We start from the raw sequence: 17,742 nt of genomic DNA on the forward strand, positions 1-17,742 counted from the left end.
AATTATTCATCTAACAAGGGACTAATATCCAGAATATACAAGGAATACAAATGACTCAACAGCAAAAAACAAACATAATATTAAGTGGGCAAAGGACATGAATAGACATTTCTCAAAAGAAAACAAATGGCCAACAGGCATACGAAAAAATGCTCAGCTGGGTGCAGTGGCTCACACCTGTAGTCCCAACACTTTGGGAGGCTGAGGTGGGCGGATCACAAGGTCAAGAGATCGAGACCATCCTGGCCAACAGGGTGAAACCCAGTCCCTACTAAAAATACAAAAATTAGCTGGGCATGGTGGCAAGCACCTGTAGTCACAGCTACTCGGGAGGCTGAGGCAGAATTGCTTGAACCCATGAAGCAGAGGTTGCAGTGAGTCAAGATCATACCACTGCTCTCCAGCCTGGTGACAGAGCGGGACTCCGTCTCAAAAAAAAAAAAAAAAAAAAAAAAAAAAAAAAAAAAAAAAGCTCAACATCACTAATCATCAGAGAAATGCAAATCAAAACCACAATGAGATATCATCTCACCTCAGTTAGAATGGCTGTTATCAAAAAGACAAATGCTGGCGAGGATGTGCAGAAAAGGGAACTCATACACTGTTGTTGGGAATTAAGTTAATACAGCCATTATGGAAAGTAGTATGGAGGTTTCTCAAAAAACTAAAAATTGAACTATCACATGATTCAAACAGTTCCACTACTGGGATAAATAACCCTAGAAATCCTGATTCCTAGGGAATCGGTACCTGATTTCCTTTCCTTTGGATAAATAATCCAGGAGTGGGATTGCTGGATCATATGGTAGTCCTATTTTTAGTTTTTTGAGAAATCTCCTTACTTCTCTCCGTAATGGAAATCAGTATCCAAATGAAAGGAGGGATATCTGCACGCCCTTGTTTACTGCAGCACTATTCCAAGAGCCAAGATATGGAATCAACCTAAGTGTCCATCAACAGGTGAATGGAAAAAGAAAATGTGGTACCTATACACAATGGAATATATCCAGCCATAAAAAAAATATGGAAGCCCTGTCATTTGCAGCAATATGGGTGGAACTGGAGGTCATTATGTTATGTGAAACAAGCCAGACACAAAAAGACAAATTTCACATGTTCTCACTCATGTGAGAGCTAAAAAAAAAAAAAAAAAAAAAAAAAAAAAAAAAAAAAAAGTAGAATTAATGGGAGTAGAGAGTAGAATGATGGTTACTAGAGGCTGGGAAGTGGGGGTGGGGGGAGGATGAACAGAGGTTGATTAATGGGTACAAACATACTGTTTGATGGAAATAAGATAAGTTGAAATAAGAAATAAGTTGATAGTACAGTAGGGTGACTATAGTTAACAATAATTTATTGTATATTTCAAAATAGCTAGAAGAGAAGATTTGAAATGTTTCCAACACAAAGAAATGATAAATGTTTAGCCGGGCCCAGTGGCTCATGCCTGTAATCCCAGCACTTTGGGAGGCCTAGGCAGGAGGATCACTGAGGTCAGGAGTTCGAGACCAACCTGGCCAACATGGTGAAACCCCATCTCTAGTAAAAATATGAAAATTAGCTGGGCATGGTGGTAAGCACCTATAAACCCAGCTACTTGGGAGGCTGAGGCAGGAGAATCGCTTGAACATGGGAGGCAGAGGTTATAGTGAGCTGAGATGGCACCACCGCACTCCAGCCTGGGTGATGAGAGTGAAACGCCATCTCCAAAAAAAAAAAAAAAAGAAAAGAAATAATGTTGAAGGTACCCCAGTTACCCTGATTTGCTCATTACACATTGTGTGCAAGTATAAAAATATCATATGTACCCCATAAATATGTACAATTAATATGTATCAGTTTAAAAAGTTAATGACGATGGTACCAATATTATAGCCTCATTTAGCAGATGAGGAAACTGAGGCACTGAGCTATGAATTAACACACCTGAAATCACAGAGCACAGTCCAGACTTGAACCCAGACTGTCCAGTTCCAGTGTCCCAGCTCTAGGTCATGACCTCAGGGTCATCCCCCTCCCCTGCCTCCATTTAGCCTTCACTGTGACCCCCAGCTGCAGCCTGACATCAGTGTGATTATTCACGGGGTGGGTAGCCTGGGGCCACTGAAGGCCGGTTTGCTTTGAGCACTGCTCTCCAATGAGGCTGGAAGCCCTTTGAGGGGCTGTCGTATTCACCGCGGGATGCCCAGGTCCCGCCCAATTGGCGGAATCACCGTTTGTTGAGTGAATTCTTGAACGTCTGTGCATGGCATGCATGTGCCTGCCATTTGCTCATCTTTACCACACACTTGGCTGCAATGGCTGTCACCTTCAATAGGCGCCTTGCCAGGGACAGAGAGCTCAGGGACAGCCAAGGAGACTGGAACTGCTCAGCTGGGGATAGGGAGCCTAGGGGGCCCTGGCAGGCCCCCAAGCCTCTCCTGGGTTGTCCTGGCCAATTCACAGGGAGGCTGACCCCAGCTTCCAGGAATAAAAGATTCTGACCTCTCCGTGGCAATGAGCCCCTGTCCCAGGGGTGTGCGGGAGATCCCTGGTTATCTGAGGTGTCTCCAGGGTATATCCGCTGAAACCCCACTTCCTCTTCACTGCCCACTGAGCCTGGGACCAGCTGCTGGTCACGTGCTTGGCCCTGTAGCGTCGCTAGCCGTGCTCCTCAGTGTGCTCCCCGCCCCCTGCCGCGGCGCCTCGCCTCCCGGCTCACCTCCCCACCCCACCTGCCCGCTGCGGCTCTCCGCGGGAGATCTCACCGTTCTGGAGACAGGGCTCGCTCGCTCTCACGGTAGGCTGGAAGAACGGGCTGTCTGGGCCTTAGGAAAGGCCCATGCTGTATAAGGCATGGGGAAAGGAAAGGAAGAAAGGCAACGAACAAGAAGGAGGGCTTCCAACTGCAGCTTCCTGCCGGCTGCAGGCCTCCCTTCCTAAGCTGAGCTGAGGCTTCCTCTCCATGGGCTGGGGAGGGGGCGCCAGGAGGCCTCGGCGGGTCCGCAATTGGCCGGGACAGCTTCTCACGAAAGGTCCTGGGCCGGCATCATCAGCCTCACCTGGGAACTGGTTAGAACTACAAATTCCCTCGGCCCCACCCAGACCGACGCCAAGGGCAGCTGTGGAGTGGGGCGCGGCAATGCGCCCCTTAACAGCCCTCCAGGTGATTCTGCCGCGCAGAGGAGGAAAGAATGGGAGAAGGGAAGGGGAGAGGGAGGCGGCTTCTTTGCGACTAATTGGACACCTGCCCTTCCCCTTCCCAGGCTTCTTAGCCCGGGCTTGGACAGCCGCCTTCCGGCCAGAGGGGATGAGGTTGCGCTGCGCTCCGGGAGCGCCGATGGCGTGACTGGCCCCGCGCGGAGCAGCGACAGTAAGGCTGTGTGGGGGGAGCTGGGACCTAAGCCGCGCGCACACCCCTTTCTCTGCGTCTGGTGGAGGTGCACAGAGGCTTTTGAGTCAGGCCCAAGCGCAGCCAGGTGACCTCCCCGCGGCCTTTCAAGCCTGAGCTCGGTGGACAGCTCCCTCTCCCGTGAGTCCCGCTGTCCTGTACGCGCCCGGTCGAGCCCCGGGCTGCGCACCCCGCTAGGAGGTGGGTACTCGTCCTCCAGGAGTTGCCGGTGAGCCCTTGACCGTGGCAGGTCCCCTCCAGCCGCGAGCGACCCCTCAGTACCTGCCGATGCCTGCTGGTCTCTGGCATCCTCCAGTCGAGGGTCAGGGTCAGGGAGCAAGGCCTCACGCGGGCGCCCTCCTTGCAGCTGCCCGGCCAGCCCGCTTCTCTGCCCGGAGCCATGAATCTCAGTAGCGCCAGTAGCACGGAGGAAAAGGCAGTGACGACCGTGCTCTGGGGTGAGTGGGGACTCAGGCTCCTTCCCAGAGACACGCCCCACCTCCGGTGCGCGGCAGCTTGGGGCGCAGGTGAGCCCCTCCTTTGGGAACGAATGGAGGGCCCCACTTCCCTCCCTTTCTCCTCCGCAGGCTGCGAGCTCAGTCAGGAGAGGCGGACTTGGACCTTCAGACCCCAGCTGGAGGGGAAGCAGAGCTGCAGGCTGTTGCTTCATACGGTAGGTGTTCCCAAAAGAGGGGAGGAAGATGGTGTCCGGGAACTTTCTGGTCCCAACGGAGGGCTATGGATTTCTCCCGTCGGCCCTCAGGGTGATGAGGGGCCTCTATTTTCAACCCCGCTCAGATTTGCTTGGGGGAGAAAGCCAAAGAGGAGATGCATCGCGTGGAGATCCTGCCCCCAGCAAACCAGGAGGACAAGAAGATGCAGCCGGTCACCATTGCCTCACTCCAGGCCTCAGTCCTCCCCATGGTGCGCATTTCCCTGCTGGCTGGAAGACTGCTGTCAGCCTCACCCTCACCCTTGGGTGGGGATGGACACACACGAGGGTGCATTCACCCTACAGAAATGAGCCATGCTAGGGAGGTAGCACAGCCCATGCAGAAAGCCGGGGTCCAGCCCAGCTCACCCCTTCCTAGAGCTGTGTGACCTTGGGCCAGTTAAGCTGTCTGCAAAAATTACACTTTAAACCAGGGGTCCCCAACTGCCGGGTCAAGGACCAGAACTCGTCCTGTTAGGAACCAGGCAGCACAGCAGGAGGTGAGCAGCCAGCTAGCCAGCATTACCCCTGAGCCCTGCCTCCCGTCAGATCAGAGCGGCATTAGATTCTCAGAGGAGCATGAACCCTATGGTAAGCTGTGCGTGCGAGGGGTCTAGGTTGCATGCTTCTTATGAGAATCGAATGCCTGATCTGAGGTGGAGCAGTTTCATCCCAAAACCACCCCCCACTCCCACCCCATCCATGCAAAAATTGTCTTCCAGGAAACCATTCCCTGGTTCCACAATGATTGGAGACTGCTGCTTTAAACCATTCACTGCTAGTGACAGGAACATGGTCGATCTACATATTGGTTGTGCATCCAGAAATTCTCTAGTTTCTAATAACTTAAGTTTTCTATGCATATAATAATTGTGAATAATGGCAGTTCTTGCCTTTTTTTTTTTTTTTTTTGAGATGGAGTTTCACTCTGTCACCCAGGCTGGAGTGCAGTGGTGCAATCTCAGCTCACTGCAATTTCTGCCTCCCAGGTTCAAGCAATTCTAGTGCCTCAGCCTTCGGAGTAGCTGGGATTACAGGTGTGCACCACCATGCCTGGCTAATTTTTGTATTTTTAGTAGAGACAGGGTTTCACAATGTTGCCCAGGCTAGTCTCGAACTCCTGACCTCAGGTGATTCGCCCGCCTTGGCCTCCCGAAGTGCTGGGATTACAGGCGTGAGTCACCACGCCAGGTCTTTTTTCTTTCTTTCTTTCTTTTAATCCTACTGCACTGGCTAGGCCCTGCAGTGGAATATTGGGTGAACATGAGATCAGGTCTGACATCCTTATTTCCTTCTTGTTTTTTAAAAAAGAAGCATTTGGTAAGTACATTTTGTCAGGTTAAGGAAGTCCCCATCTAAAACCCTCTGCTTTTAAAAAATTGCTTTGCTTTGAAATCACTAGAGGGGGTTAAATTTTACCAAATGCTTTTCTATTCATATGATTCTAGGTTCTTTAGTCCACGTGGTAAATTATATGAAGATAATAATATCTGAGTTCCTTTGCCATCCTGGGATAAATACTACTGGTCATGTTACAAATTCTAGATTTGTTTTACTCATATATTGAGCCCTTTTTTTTACCTGTATACATGTGAGGTTGGCCTATAAGTGATAGTATTTAGGTGTTCAGGACATGCTAGCCTCATGCACTGAGGGTGGAGGGTTCTCTCCTATTCCCTGGAACAGTGAATGGAAGACTAGGATCAGCTGTCCTTGGAGGTTTGGGAGACCCCTCTGTCAAACTGCCCTCAGACTTTCCTGTTCTATTTACACATACTTTGCAGGCGATCTCATCCTTTCCTGTGGTTTTCAAGACCATCTAAACAAATGAAGACTCAGGAACTTATTTCTGTAAACTCAACCTCTCTTGAGCTCCAAGTCCTATATCCAACTAAATGGCTTTGATAGATATCTAATAAATATCCCAAATTTAACATGTCTAAATCCACATATTCAATTTTTATCTCTAATCCACCCGCCTCCCCTTCAACCTGATTTTCTCTCAGAAAACAGCTGTTTTTCCAGTTAGCCAAGACAAAGCTCTTTTTTTTTTTTTTTCCCCTGAGATGGAGTTTCACTCTTATCACCCAGGCTGGAGTGCAATGGTGCGCTCTCGGCTCACTGCAACCTCCGCATCCCATGTTCGAGTGATTCTCCCATCTCAGCCTCCCAAGTAGCTGGGATTACAGGCATGTTCCACTACGCCAGGCTAATTTTTGTAATTTTAGTAGAGATGGGTTTTTGCCATGTTGGTCAGGCTGGTCTCGAACTCCTGACCTCAGGTGATATACCCGCCTTGGCCTCCCAAAGTGCTGGATTTACAGGCATGAGCCACCACACCCAGCCAAATCCTCTTTTTTCCCACACCCATATCTGATCTACCAGCAGTCCTGTTGTCTCTGCCCCCATCTTATACCCCAATGGACCACATCTCATCATCTTCCCTGCTACCCCTGGTACAGGTGACAGTTGCCTGTGGCTCCATTTTAATTGCACAGCCTTCCACCTGGTCTACCTACCATCACATGGTCCCCTGTAGTCTATTCCAGGGTAGGCAAACTAGAGGGCTTGAATCTAGGCTGCTGCCTGGTTTTGTAAGTAGTTTTACTGGGAACACAGCCACACTCATTCGTTTGTACCCTGTCCATGGCTGCTTTTCCTCCCTAACAGCAGATTTGAGTAGTCTCCATGGAGACCATATGGTTTGCAAACCTAAAATATTACCTTCTGGCTCTTAACAGAAAGTTTCCTGGTCTGTGCTCCACACAGCTGCCAAAAAGATTTTTTTTTTTTTTTTTTTTTTTTTTTGAGACAGAATCTTGCTTTGATACCAGGGCTGGAATGCAGTGGCTTAATCTCGGCTCACTGCAACCTCCACCTCCTTAGTAGCCGGGACAACAGGCGCTCCCCACCATGCCCAGCTGATTTTTTTTTTTTTTTGTAATTTTTAGTAGAGACGGGGTTTCACCATGTTGGCCAGGCTGGTCTTGAACTTCTGACTTCAAGTGATCCACCTGCCTCAGCCTCCCAAAGTGCTGAGATTATAGGCGTGAGCCACTATGCCCAGCCAAAAAGATCCTTTTAAACACAGGTTAGATCATGTGGCTTCTCTGCTAGAATAGTTAGGTCATGGCTCTCTCTCATTTGGAATAAGAGCCGAGAGTGTATTATGGCCTGCTTCGAAGCCTTTGTGTTCTGGCCTCAGCAACCTCTCTGTTTCAGGTGTGTTTTATGTCTTATGTTCCAGGTATGTATCTTTTACACAGTATGTAGCTAGATTTTGTTCTATCTGGCCAGTATAGTCTGTATTCATTGTGATTGCTGATGTAATTGGATTTGTGGCATGTACTTTGTACCCCTACTTTCCTTGCTTTTTTATTTTCTTCTCCTTTTCCTATATTTTATTAGATTAATTAAAGTTCCTTTTCCCCTTCTCTACTGGTTTGGAAGTTATAGAATCTCATTCTAATTTTTTTACTGTTTATCTTTAATTTTTTTAACAATCATACATTACTCAAAGTTTAGAATTAATGTTTTATGTCCTCCCAGACAATCCAAGGAGCTTTTCTGATTCTCCTTTTTTTATTTTTTTATTTTCGAAATGGAGTCTCACTTTGTTTCCCAGGCTAGAGTGCAGTGGTGCAATCTTGACTCACTGCAACCTCTGCTTCCCAGGTGATTCAAGTGATTCTCCTGCCTCAGCCTCCCAAGTAGCTGGGATTACAGGTATGCACCATCATGCCCAGCTAATTTTTGTATTTTTAGTAGAGACAGGGATTCACCACGTTGGCCAGGCTGGTCTTGAACTCCTGAGCTCAGGTGATCCTCCTGCCTTGGCCTCCCAAAGTGCTGGAATTATAGGTGTGAGCTACCGCACCTGGCCTGATTCTCATCTTTTTAACTTCAATATTATTATCAAGTGTTCTAGCTCCAACTTGTCAGCCTACTCAACACTACTCATTACTAGTACTATTGTATTTTCCAGTTAATTCTTATGTAGGTTTACTTTGTTTACCAATTAGTTTGGTTACCACTGCTTCTAGCACCCACTTCTTCCTTCTTGATCTAATTTCTTATCCTTTTTAGCAACATACTTTAGTAAGCCTGAGAATAGTAAACTTATTCAGGCTTTGTCTGGAAATATCATGATTTTGCCCTCATTCCTTCATGATGGTTTGGCTGTGTATATAATTCTAGATAGAGAGTTTCCTTCAGCTTTGAAGCTGTTCTATTCTGGTTCCCAATGTTGCTGTTGAAGTCCTCAATCTGTCTGATTATTCCCTTTTTGGAGATGTCTTTCCTCTCTGGCTTATTTTAAGATAATGTCTTTTGTTTTTATTTTCTATAGTTTTACCATGATGTGTTCAGGTGTAGATTTATTTTTTTTGTCTGTTCAGGACTTAGGTTTTCAGACATGAGGATCTATGTCTTTGATCAATTCTGGAAAATTATTGGTTGTTTTTCCTTTGAATATTGACTGTCTTCCAGTCTCCCTAGTCCCTTTTCCAATTAGATATATGTTGGGCCTTCTCACTCTGTCCCCCGTGTTAGCTCCCCCAATGTTTCTTTAAATCTCTCCCTCTCTGCCTTATACTGGGTAATTCCTTCACAGCATTATTGATCATACTAATTCTGCTTCTGCTGGTTTTTTCTGCTTTTTAATCATTTGATCAGGTTTTCTTTTATTTTTGTTTTAAAGACAAGGTCTTGCTCTGTTGCCTAGGTTGGAGTGCAGTGGCCTGATCATGGCTCACTGCAGCCTCAAACTCCTGGGCTCAAGTGATCCTCCCACTCAGCCTCCTAAGTAGCTGGGACTACAGGCATGAGCCACCATGCCCAGCTAATGTTTATTATTTTTTTGTAGAGCTGGAGTCTCACTATGTTATCCAGGCTGGTTTCTAATTTCTGACTTCAAGCACTCCTCCCACCTCAGCCTCTCAAAGTGCTGGGATTATAGGTGTGAGCCACCATGCCCATCCTCAGCTTTGGGTGTTTTATATCTAGAAAGCTGCATTTGGTTCTTTTTCTTTTCATAATGTCTTGTTCTTATGATTATGATTCCTACTTTTATATTTACTTGGTTTTAAACATATACATATATATATATATGTACATATTTCTGTATATACATATTTTAGAGACAAGATCTTGCTCTGTCGCCCAGTCTGGAGTGCATTGTTGCAATCATAGCTCACTGCAGCCTTGAACTCCTGAGTTCAAGCGATCTTCCGGCCTCAGCCCCCCCGAGTAGCCTGGGCTACAGGCGTGCACCAACACACCCAGCTTTATCTGATATTTTTTTAGATCAGTGTTCTAAGTTCTTGGTCGGGCTAGTCTGCAGTCACTTGATTTCTTTCTGTTGACTCTAGCTGGATTGTTTCTTGTATGTTTTGTAATTTTATACGGTGAGCTCATCTTTAGTTTATTTTGTTTTTTTCCAAAAGAATTCGATGTGGCCTGAGTTTGGGGAGTGTTCCAACAGAGTGGTTTCGTGTTTGCTTCTGCCATTTACCTCAGGAATATCATAAGCTTGGGATTTTCTGTACATTTCTTGGCTTGGCAGTACTCACTGAGTAAATTCAGACCCCATAAGTGAGAGGTACAGCTATGGGGTATGGGCTCTCACTGGAGACTTCTTTTATTTCCATTCATGCTTTGTTGTTAGCTTCCTTTAATGGTGGCTAGGGTTTTGATTTTTGTTTTTCATTTTTGAGGAGAAGAGGGCTGGTTTGGGCTTTTGAGTCTCTAATCCTCAACACTTACCTTGGGCCTCTCACTAAGGGTATAGCCCTTGAGGGTCCTACCCTCCCCATGGTGGTCTCAGCTACAACTCTCCTCCTTGCCTGAGCCCAAGGCCTTGTCTCCTGACTGTGAAGATTTTGTTGTTGTTCTGTTGTGTTTTTTAAAGACAGTCTTGTTCTGTCGCCCAGGCTGGCACGCAGTGGCGCAATCTCGGCTCACTGCAGCCTCCGCTTCCTGGGTTCAAGCAGTTCTCCTGCCTCAGCCCCCTGAGTAGCTGGGATTACAGGTGTGCACCATCACACCTGGCTAATTTTTGTATTTTTAGTAGAAACAGGGTTTCACCATGTTGCCCAGGCTGGTCTCAAACTCCTGACCTCAAGTTATCCGCCTGCCTTGGCCTCCCAAAGTGCTTGGATTACAGGCATGAGCCACCGTGCGTGCTCGGCCTGTGTGTGAGTTTTGAAGCAAAAAGTCCTGGCTGTTTTCAGGTCCATTTCCCCTCGGTTGCAGCACACCAGCTCCTGCACCTGCCTGTCTTCATTTCTTTTTTCTTTTTTTCATTCATCACTAATCAGAAGGCATCCTCTCTTCATTTTTTATGTACGAGGATTCTTCTGTCTTACTGTTCAGCCATGCAGTAGAAACACTGAATTACATCCTCTCTGGCATTTCTAAGTGTCTCTGGCTGCAGAGTTTGTTTTCACTTATTACCTCCTGTTTGAACTTAGAGTTTAGAAGCTGTAAGTTATTCACTCTAAGTCTCAGTTTCCTCCTCTGTAAAGTATCAGTACTTACATCATGGGTTTCTTGTGAGGATTTAATGAGATAAAGCAGATAAAATGCTTAGCAGGGTGCCTGACACGTGGCAGAAGCTCAAAACAATAAGCTATCATTGTCATTCGAGAAAATTTGGGAAGTTTGGAAAAGTATAAATACAATAAATACCTTACTATCGACTGACAATTATGGTTAGCACTTTAATATATTTTAAACCTTTATTCTTATGTATATCCATACATTATACATAAGACAAAAGTAGTACTGTAGAGGCTCTTGTCATTTATAAGTGTGATGATTGGGGTTTCACGCTCGTGTGTAAGGTGTGCCTCCCACAAACCTGGTTACGAGTTGGCACATCACCTGTCTGATGTGAAGAAAGCAAGCAGCACTGTACATAAAATCATGCATCTGCTTTCTCGTTTGATCGGTGTCTCAGTCTGCCCAAGTTGCTATAACAAAATACCACAGACTGGAGGGCTTTAGCAACAGACGTTTTCTCACACTTCTGGAGGCTTTGAGGTCTGAGATCAGGGGGCCGGCATGGTTGGGTTCTGGTAAGGGTCCTCTCCCTGAGTTGCAGACGGCAGCCTTCTTGCTATGTGTTCACGTGTGGGGCAGGAGAGTGGAGAGAAAGAGAGTGAGTTCTCTAGTGTCTCTTTTTGTAAAGGTACTAGTTCTATCATGAGGGTCCTGCCCTCATGACCCCAAACCTAATGACCTCCCAAGGCCTGCATTTCTAAATACTATCACACTGGAGGATAGGGCTTCAACATAGGAATTTGGAGGATGGGGGGAATGGCCATAATTTAGCCCATACTAATCAGATTCCTCTATCTGACGGCTGCCCTTCAGCTTGGAAGCCCATCTGTGAGCTTAGCAAGAATGGGATTACCAGGTTCAAATTCTTGGACAGAATCCACCTCAGCAGGGGCTGAGTAGTGTGTAGGGTTTGGGGAGGGAAATCAACTCAGTATTTCTGCCTGAGGCTAGTCCCCGAGAGGTGCCAGGCCTAAGTGGCCCTGTCTTCTCTGCTTCCTCCCCCTGCAGGTCTCCATGGTAGGAGTGCAGCTTTCTCCCCCAGTTACTTTCCAGCTCCGGGCTGGCTCAGGACCCGTGTTCCTCAGTGGCCAGGAACGTTATGGTAAGTCAGAGCCTGCGATCAGGAAGGTCCGTGAGTACCGTGCTAGGCAGGGGCTCGGGACATACTAGCTACTCAAACACTGGAGGGATTCTTGAATGTTGGAAGAAAATCCCCAAAGGCAACATGACAGCCAGCAGCCTGGACTGGAAGGCAAGGGCGCTGGTCCCTGTTCTTCTTCTTTACCTGCCATGACCTCTGTAGGCTGCAGCCCCTCACTTGTAAACTTCAAAGAGCAGTTGTGAAGAATAAATGGGATATTCAGGAAAAGCACTCAGCGTAATACCCAGCACTAGGGAACCACTGTTCAGGATGTGGCTGCTGCAGTGATGCAGACCATAGCAACGCAGACCATAGCAACGCAGACCATAGCAACGCGGCATGATGCTGACTCCTTCAAGGTCCCTTCAACTGGCCCTCTTTTCTGTATGATTATGCCTCATTCATCAGGGTACTCTCCTGCTAAAAAGCCTTGGCAGGTCCCACTTCTCTTAGGATAAGGTTTCAATTCTTTAGCTATTTGTTTTAGATTCTTTCCCCCTCTCCTCCTCTTCCTCCCCTACTCTGCCTACCTTTAGCCTTGGCCCCAGCCCTTGCCAATATGAATCCCCCTCCTACCCAGCCAGAGCCACTTCCCCTGCCCTCTTTCTACCACCCCAGCCCTCTGCAGGGCTTTCCTAGACCCCCTACCCTACCCTGGCCTCCACTGTTGGGAGGGCCAGAAAGGGTGCCGCCCTGTACAGGTGGCAGGCAGGTAACCACTGTCAACTCCAGGCTAGGATTCCTCCAGGGCAGTGCTTGGAGCAACACGGATCACAGAATGGGAGGTGGGCATTGATTCTGTAGCTCTGAAGCTGTGCCCCTGCATCCTTTCCCATGCTATTACAGAAGCATCAGACCTAACCTGGGAGGAGGAGGAGGAAGAAGAAGGGGAGGAGGAGGAAGAGGAAGAGGAAGATGATGAGGATGAGGATGCAGATATATCTCTGGAGGAGCAAAGCCCTGTCAAACAAGTCAAAAGGCTGGTGCCCCAGAAGCAGGCGAGCGTGGCTAAGGTGGGGGAAGGAGCGTGGCTGTTTGGAAGGAAGTGGTACCCCTACAGAAGCACTTAAGAGGGGTGGGCCACCGGGAGCCTGGGCCAGCCTCCCAGAATGAGTGTACAGGATGGGCCAAGGCCACCTCAGCTAGTTCTGGCCAGGAGCTCAGCGGGGACCTTGTGGACTTTGGGAATCTGTTCTGGCTCTGGACTTTGTCTGAACTCTCATAATACACTGTTTTTTGGTTCCCAGAAAAAAAAGCTGGAAAAAGAAGAAGAGGAAATAAGGTAACTCTTTCTACCTATTAAATTAGCCAAAGTCTCCAGCTGAGATATACAGTGTTAGAAAGAATACTGTGCTGTTGGGATGTACGTGTACAAATGTACACACGGTGTGTCTACCTGCACTCGCAGGCACATGGGTATGGAAGTGCTGAAGGGTGGCATCACCTTTCTGGAAGAGCATTACAACGTTCTTATCTTGGGATCTAATTCCAGTGAAGGCAATTCCTTCCACAGAATTCCATCCAAATTTCAGGGGAAATTACCTGCACTAAGATGCTTCTCACGGCCAGGCTTGGTGGCCCACGCCTGTAATCCCAGCACTTTGGGAGGCTAAGGCAGGCAGATCACTTGAGGTCAGGAGCTCGAGACTAGCCTGGTCAACATGATGAAACCCTGTCTCTACTAAAAACACAAAAATTAACCGAGCCTGGTGGCATTCTTGTAATCCCAGCTACTCAGGAGGCTGAGGCATGAGAATTGCTTGAGCCCGGGGAAAAGTTGCAGTGAGCCGAGATCGTGCCACTGCGCTCCAGCCTGGATGACAGAGCGAGACTCAGTCTGAAAAAACAAAATTTTAAAAAGACGCTTATGGCATTATTTGAATAGTGAAAAAATGGAAGCATTCTAAATGTCTACCAATATAACAATTCACTAAGCTACATCCCTCTTCTCAATGGAATATTACATAATGCTTATGAAGAATATAGCAACCTGGAAAGTATGTGTATAGTTTTGGTTTGTTTGTTTAATGAGACAGGGTTTTGCTCTGCCACCCAGGCTGGAGTGTGATGGCACAATCATGGCTCACTGCAGCCTTAGCTTCCTGGGCTCAAGCAATCCTCCCACCTCAGCTTTCCAAGTAGCTAGGACTATAGGCACGTGCCACTATGCATGGCTAACTTTTAAGTTTTGTGTAGAGACAGGGTCTTTCTATGTTGCCCAGGCTGATCTCAAACTCCTGACCTCAAGCAATCCTCCTGCCTCAGCCTCCCAAAGCACTGGAATTACAAGTGTGAGCCTCTGCACCTGATAAGAATATTGATAGTTCATACAGCAGGACATAAAGTCATTTTTATTTTATTTCACATATTTTTAAAAAGAGTTTGACCAGGCCGGGTACGGTGGCTCACGCCTGTAATCCCAGCACTTTGGGAAGCCAAGGTGGGAGGATCACTTGAGGTCAGGAGTTCAAGACCAGCCTTGCCAACATAGCAAAACCCTGTCTCTACTAAAATACAAAATTCAGCTGGGCGTGGTGGCATGTGCCTGTAATCCCAGCTACTCGGGAGGCTGAGGCAGGAGAATCACTTAGACCCGGAATGCGAAGGATGCAGTGAACCAAGATCACACCACTGCACACCAGCCTGGGCAACAGAGCAAGACTCCATCTCAAAAAAAAAAAAAAAAGTTTGACCAAGAAAAAAATAATAACCCTGAAAGAAAATACACCAAAATGTTTAGTGTGGGCAGTAAAGAAAACTATAAGTAATGTATTTTCTTGTCTATTTGCTATATTTTGTACAAAATGGTTAATATTTTATAATGAAAAAGACATTTGTGGGCCAGGTGTGGTGGTGCACACCTGCAGTCCCAGCTTCTCAGGAGGCTGAGGCAGGAGGATCACTCGAGCCCAGGAGGTCGAGGCTGCAGTGAGCTGTGATAGTGTCACTGCACTCCAGCCTGGGCAACAGAACCAGACTCCATCTCAAAAACAAAACAAAACAAAAGACATTTGTGATAACTAAATGAAGATGGAAGCCTAAGGAAAACACATATGCGTATGCATGCACACGCACACACATCCCTTTGTTTAAAGAGTCCGAGTGGTCCCCAGGAGGAGCAGCCAGGCTTGCTTTCCAGGGTGGGCACTGGGAGGGCCACGCCGCTGGTCTGGAGCTGAGCTCTCTCCCTGACCCCAATCCCACTCCTGCTCCGCTCCACCCTGTTGCAGAGCCAGCGTTAGAGACAAGAGCCCTGTGAAAAAGGTGAGTAGGACCAGAGGGCTTTGGCCCTTGGGACAGGCGAGTATTCTCTGGAGGGGGCTGCCTGGTATGGAGAAGGGAACGGGACCCTGGAGCCCTGCCTTCCCTCCACAGGCCAAAGCCACAGCCAGAGCCAAGAAGCCAGGATTCAAGAAATGAGGAGCCACGCCTTGGGGGGCACGGTGCAAAGTGGGCCTTCCCTGGGCTGTGCTGCAGGCACAGGGTGCCCCTGTCCAGCCCCTCCACCTGTGTCTGAATGCAACAGGGGTGTTGCGGGGGCAACATGAGAGCCCCTCACCCCCAACTCTCCACTTTCAGGAGGCCCCCAGTGAAGAGCCCCACCTCGGGGTCACAATAAAGTTGCCTGGTCAGGACTTTCCTTCTCTTCCCTGGAGCCAGCCTCCTTGTCCGCTGCACCAGCCCCAGTGCCCGGCAGAGGGCAGCCTTGAACCGGTGCACCCGGGCCCTGAGGTCATACCTGCCTCCCTGCACCCAGCCCCCGCGGCCTGAGCCTGCTGTGTCCCTCGTCCTCGGCACCCCCAATTCTCCCCCAGTGGCGAGGGAAGAGCCTAGAGTCTGCCTTCTGCTGAGCTGTGTGTCAGGTGGATTTCCAGCCTGCACCCTCCCTCTGGGCAGAGCTAGGTTTATAGGCACCCAAGGGCTACGGCTGCTCAAGCTACCAGAAGGGGCCTCGCCCTAGGGGGCCAGCCCCCAGGGTCTTCTCCTGACCTTATTCCTGTCAGGCAGCTACTGTGTGCAGAGCATCTATAGGGAACTCAGGGACATCCGCTCTCCCTGCTTGCTTCCGTTAGGGGCCAGCTCATCTTATAGGGACCTCCCACATGTGAAGATCTGTGTCAGGCAGGAGCCAGAGGCCCGCACCTTCAAAAAAACCTTTGAGGTGGAGTAGACAGGGTGAGCTTTACAGAGGCGCCAAGCCCCACATGCTATCGAGTAGGCCTCAGTCAAGCATAGGGGCGAGGCCAAGAGAGGACTGGAAAATGGGGTGGGGGACCCCCACCCTCTCCCTGGTGTGCAGAGGGGACTCTGGAGGGCTGTTCACCTGTGGGTGACCCTGGCGCAGTTCCTAGAACAGGCGGACACACAGATGAGCCCTACACTCTGGGTTATCCATGCAGCGCCTCTGCTGGCTTCTCCCTGCCCCTCCCCAGCACCCTCTGGGGTCAGGCCCGAAGTGAACCAGTGGGGAGCTGGTCCTGCTGTCCTGCTTAGTACCCCCAGGTATGGGGCCCAGGAGGTCGGAGCTCTTTGAACACCTGCCTAGGAAAGTCAACAACCAGGCTGGGGCCTCCTGTCCAGCTATAGCTTCTTTTGAGACCAGAGACAGAGGTAGCAGAGGGCAGGGTTGTATTCATTTTTTTTTTAATTTTTATTTTTTTTAGAGACCGGGTCTCACTCTGTCACCGAGGCTGGAGGGCAGTGGCACAGTCTTAGCTCACGGCAGCCTCGACCTCCTGGACTCAAGCAATCCTCCCACCTCAACCTCCCAAAGTGCTGGAACTACAGGCACGAGCCACCACACCAAAACAAATTTTAAAATTTTTTGTAGAGATGGGGGGTCTTGTTAAGTTGCCCAGGCCAGTCTCCAACTCCTGGGCTCAAGAGATCCTCCTGCCTCAGCCTCCCAAAATGCTGGGATTACAGACGTCAGCCACTGCACCCACCCAGGGTGGCATTCTCCCTGCATGTTTCCTACACCCATGAGACAGATGTGGGTGCTGTCCTGCCCTCCAACAGACAAGCCACTAACTTTAGGTCACCCAGAGTCCCACCCTCCAACAAAGGGACAAACCACTAACTTCAGGTCACCCAGAGAGTGACAAGGGGGACTGCTCCATGTGAGCAGCTGGTGCTTTTTGAACTTGGTTTCATCTACAGTGACCCGGGGTAACCCAATTCCTCACCTTCAAGTCACTTACAGTCTAGTGGAAACAAAACCCAACACAATTTCAGTTACTGTCTGGTGCTTTGAAGGGAGTGGAACAGGTGAACTTGAGGGGCAGGAGGAAGCAGTTTGGTGAGAAGGTCTCCTGGAGGAGGCAACGGACAAGAAGGGCTCAATGGGCTTCATTAGGAGCTGGCAGAGGACGTTCCTGGGAACAGGAACAGAGCATGCAAAGGGTCCGAGGCAGAGCCCCACTTGAAGGGGGATCGGCTGCAGTGACAGCTTCTAATACCCACGACCCACTCCTTCAACCCTCATAACCGTGCCTTAAGGGGATTGTGACTGGCTCCATTTCTTTCTCTTTTTAATTTTTTTTTTAGATACTGGGTCACACTCTGTCAGCCAGGTTGGAGTGTAGTGGCACGATCATGGCTTACTGCAGCCTCGAACTCTGGGCTCCGCCTATCCTCCTGCTTCAGCCCCCTCAAGTAGCTGGGACTACAGGCATGCACCACTATACCCAGCTCATTTTTTTTTAACATTTTTGTAGAGATGGGGATCTCACTATGTGGCCCAGGCTAGTCTCAAACTCCTGACCTCACACTATCCTTCTATCGGCCTCCCAAAGTGCTGGGATTACAGGTGTGAGCCACCACACCTGGCCCAGCCCCATTTCCCAGATGAGGAAAGTGTGGCACAGAGAGGTTAGACAAGTTGCCCCAAGGTGACACGGCTGGCAGAGGAGCCAGGGAGTCCCACCCCAGAGCCCTGGATTTTGACCACTCTGCTGA

The 17,742-nt window shown here is 48.8% G+C and overlaps 1 protein-coding gene and 1 non-coding gene across 15 annotated transcripts, besides 6 other annotated features; both read left to right on the top strand.

Moving 5' to 3' along the window:
* Window positions 1,744-2,457: an enhancer, noted in NCBI's record as "H3K4me1 hESC enhancer chr8:21880733-21881446 (GRCh37/hg19 assembly coordinates)". NCBI's record gives its function as "activates a minimal SCP1, AML or CMV promoter by ChIP-STARR-seq in naive and primed H9 embryonic stem cells {active_cell/tissue: H9 hESC(naive and primed)}" and the evidence as "EXISTENCE:reporter gene assay evidence [ECO:0000049][PMID:30033119]".
* Window positions 2,458-3,170: an enhancer, noted in NCBI's record as "H3K4me1 hESC enhancer chr8:21881447-21882159 (GRCh37/hg19 assembly coordinates)". NCBI's record gives its function as "activates a minimal SCP1, AML or CMV promoter by ChIP-STARR-seq in naive H9 embryonic stem cells {active_cell/tissue: H9 hESC(naive)}" and the evidence as "EXISTENCE:reporter gene assay evidence [ECO:0000049][PMID:30033119]".
* NPM2 (nucleophosmin/nucleoplasmin 2) lies at window positions 2,656-15,419 on the top strand. Of its 14 annotated transcripts, none has more exons than NR_182112.1 (10): window positions 2,656-3,145; window positions 3,246-3,571; window positions 3,738-3,828; window positions 3,958-4,043; window positions 4,169-4,294; window positions 11,652-11,745; window positions 12,631-12,797; window positions 13,032-13,066; window positions 14,880-15,048; window positions 15,160-15,419. NR_182112.1 is itself a non-coding variant. In NM_182795.2 (10 exons), exons 3-10 carry the CDS (start codon window positions 3,771-3,773, stop codon window positions 15,202-15,204), a joined length of 645 nt encoding a protein of 214 aa, NP_877724.1. In that variant the 5' UTR covers window positions 2,656-3,145; window positions 3,246-3,571; window positions 3,738-3,770; the 3' UTR covers window positions 15,205-15,419. The 14 variants fall into 14 exon arrangements, 13 of the variants coding, with proteins under 13 accessions (NP_877724.1, NP_001273609.1, NP_001400045.1 ...); NM_182795.2 differs by having other exon boundaries at window positions 15,015-15,048; NM_001286680.2 differs by having other exon boundaries at window positions 3,246-3,352; window positions 15,015-15,048.
* LOC124902091 (small nucleolar RNA U13) lies at window positions 10,872-10,974 on the top strand. Its single transcript, XR_007061221.1, has one exon. It is a non-coding gene; the product is annotated as a small nucleolar RNA U13 (small nucleolar RNA).
* Window positions 14,949-15,633: an enhancer, noted in NCBI's record as "H3K4me1 hESC enhancer chr8:21893938-21894622 (GRCh37/hg19 assembly coordinates)". NCBI's record gives its function as "activates a minimal SCP1, AML or CMV promoter by ChIP-STARR-seq in naive H9 embryonic stem cells {active_cell/tissue: H9 hESC(naive)}" and the evidence as "EXISTENCE:reporter gene assay evidence [ECO:0000049][PMID:30033119]".
* Window positions 14,949-15,634: a biological region, named in NCBI's record as "H3K4me1 hESC enhancer GRCh37_chr8:21893938-21894622".
* Window positions 15,340-15,634: a silencer, noted in NCBI's record as "tiled region #13343; K562 Repressive DNase matched - State 12:CtcfO". NCBI's record gives its function as "represses a minimal TATA promoter and a strong SV40 promoter by Sharpr-MPRA in K562 cells {active_cell/tissue: K562}" and the evidence as "EXISTENCE:reporter gene assay evidence [ECO:0000049][PMID:27701403]".
* Window positions 15,634-16,318: an enhancer, noted in NCBI's record as "H3K4me1 hESC enhancer chr8:21894623-21895307 (GRCh37/hg19 assembly coordinates)". NCBI's record gives its function as "activates a minimal SCP1, AML or CMV promoter by ChIP-STARR-seq in naive H9 embryonic stem cells {active_cell/tissue: H9 hESC(naive)}" and the evidence as "EXISTENCE:reporter gene assay evidence [ECO:0000049][PMID:30033119]".

The sequence above is a fragment of the Homo sapiens genome, chromosome 8 (assembly GCF_000001405.40).
Source record: "Homo sapiens chromosome 8, GRCh38.p14 Primary Assembly".
Lineage (NCBI taxonomy): Eukaryota > Metazoa > Chordata > Mammalia > Primates > Hominidae > Homo > Homo sapiens.

Excerpts from the sequence above, each read along its gene's own strand:
- NPM2 (NM_001413116.1), top strand. The coding sequence starts at position 3,771 with ATGAATCTCAGTAGCGCCAGTAGCACGGAGGAAAAGGCAGTGACGACC. Across the intron at positions 4,295-11,651 it reads AGGCCTCAGTCCTCCCCATG|GTCTCCATGGTAGGAGTGCA; the intron begins GTGCGCATTTCC and ends CTCCCCCTGCAG. Across the intron at positions 15,049-15,159 it reads ACAAGAGCCCTGTGAAAAAG|GCCAAAGCCACAGCCAGAGC; the intron begins GTGAGTAGGACC and ends TTCCCTCCACAG.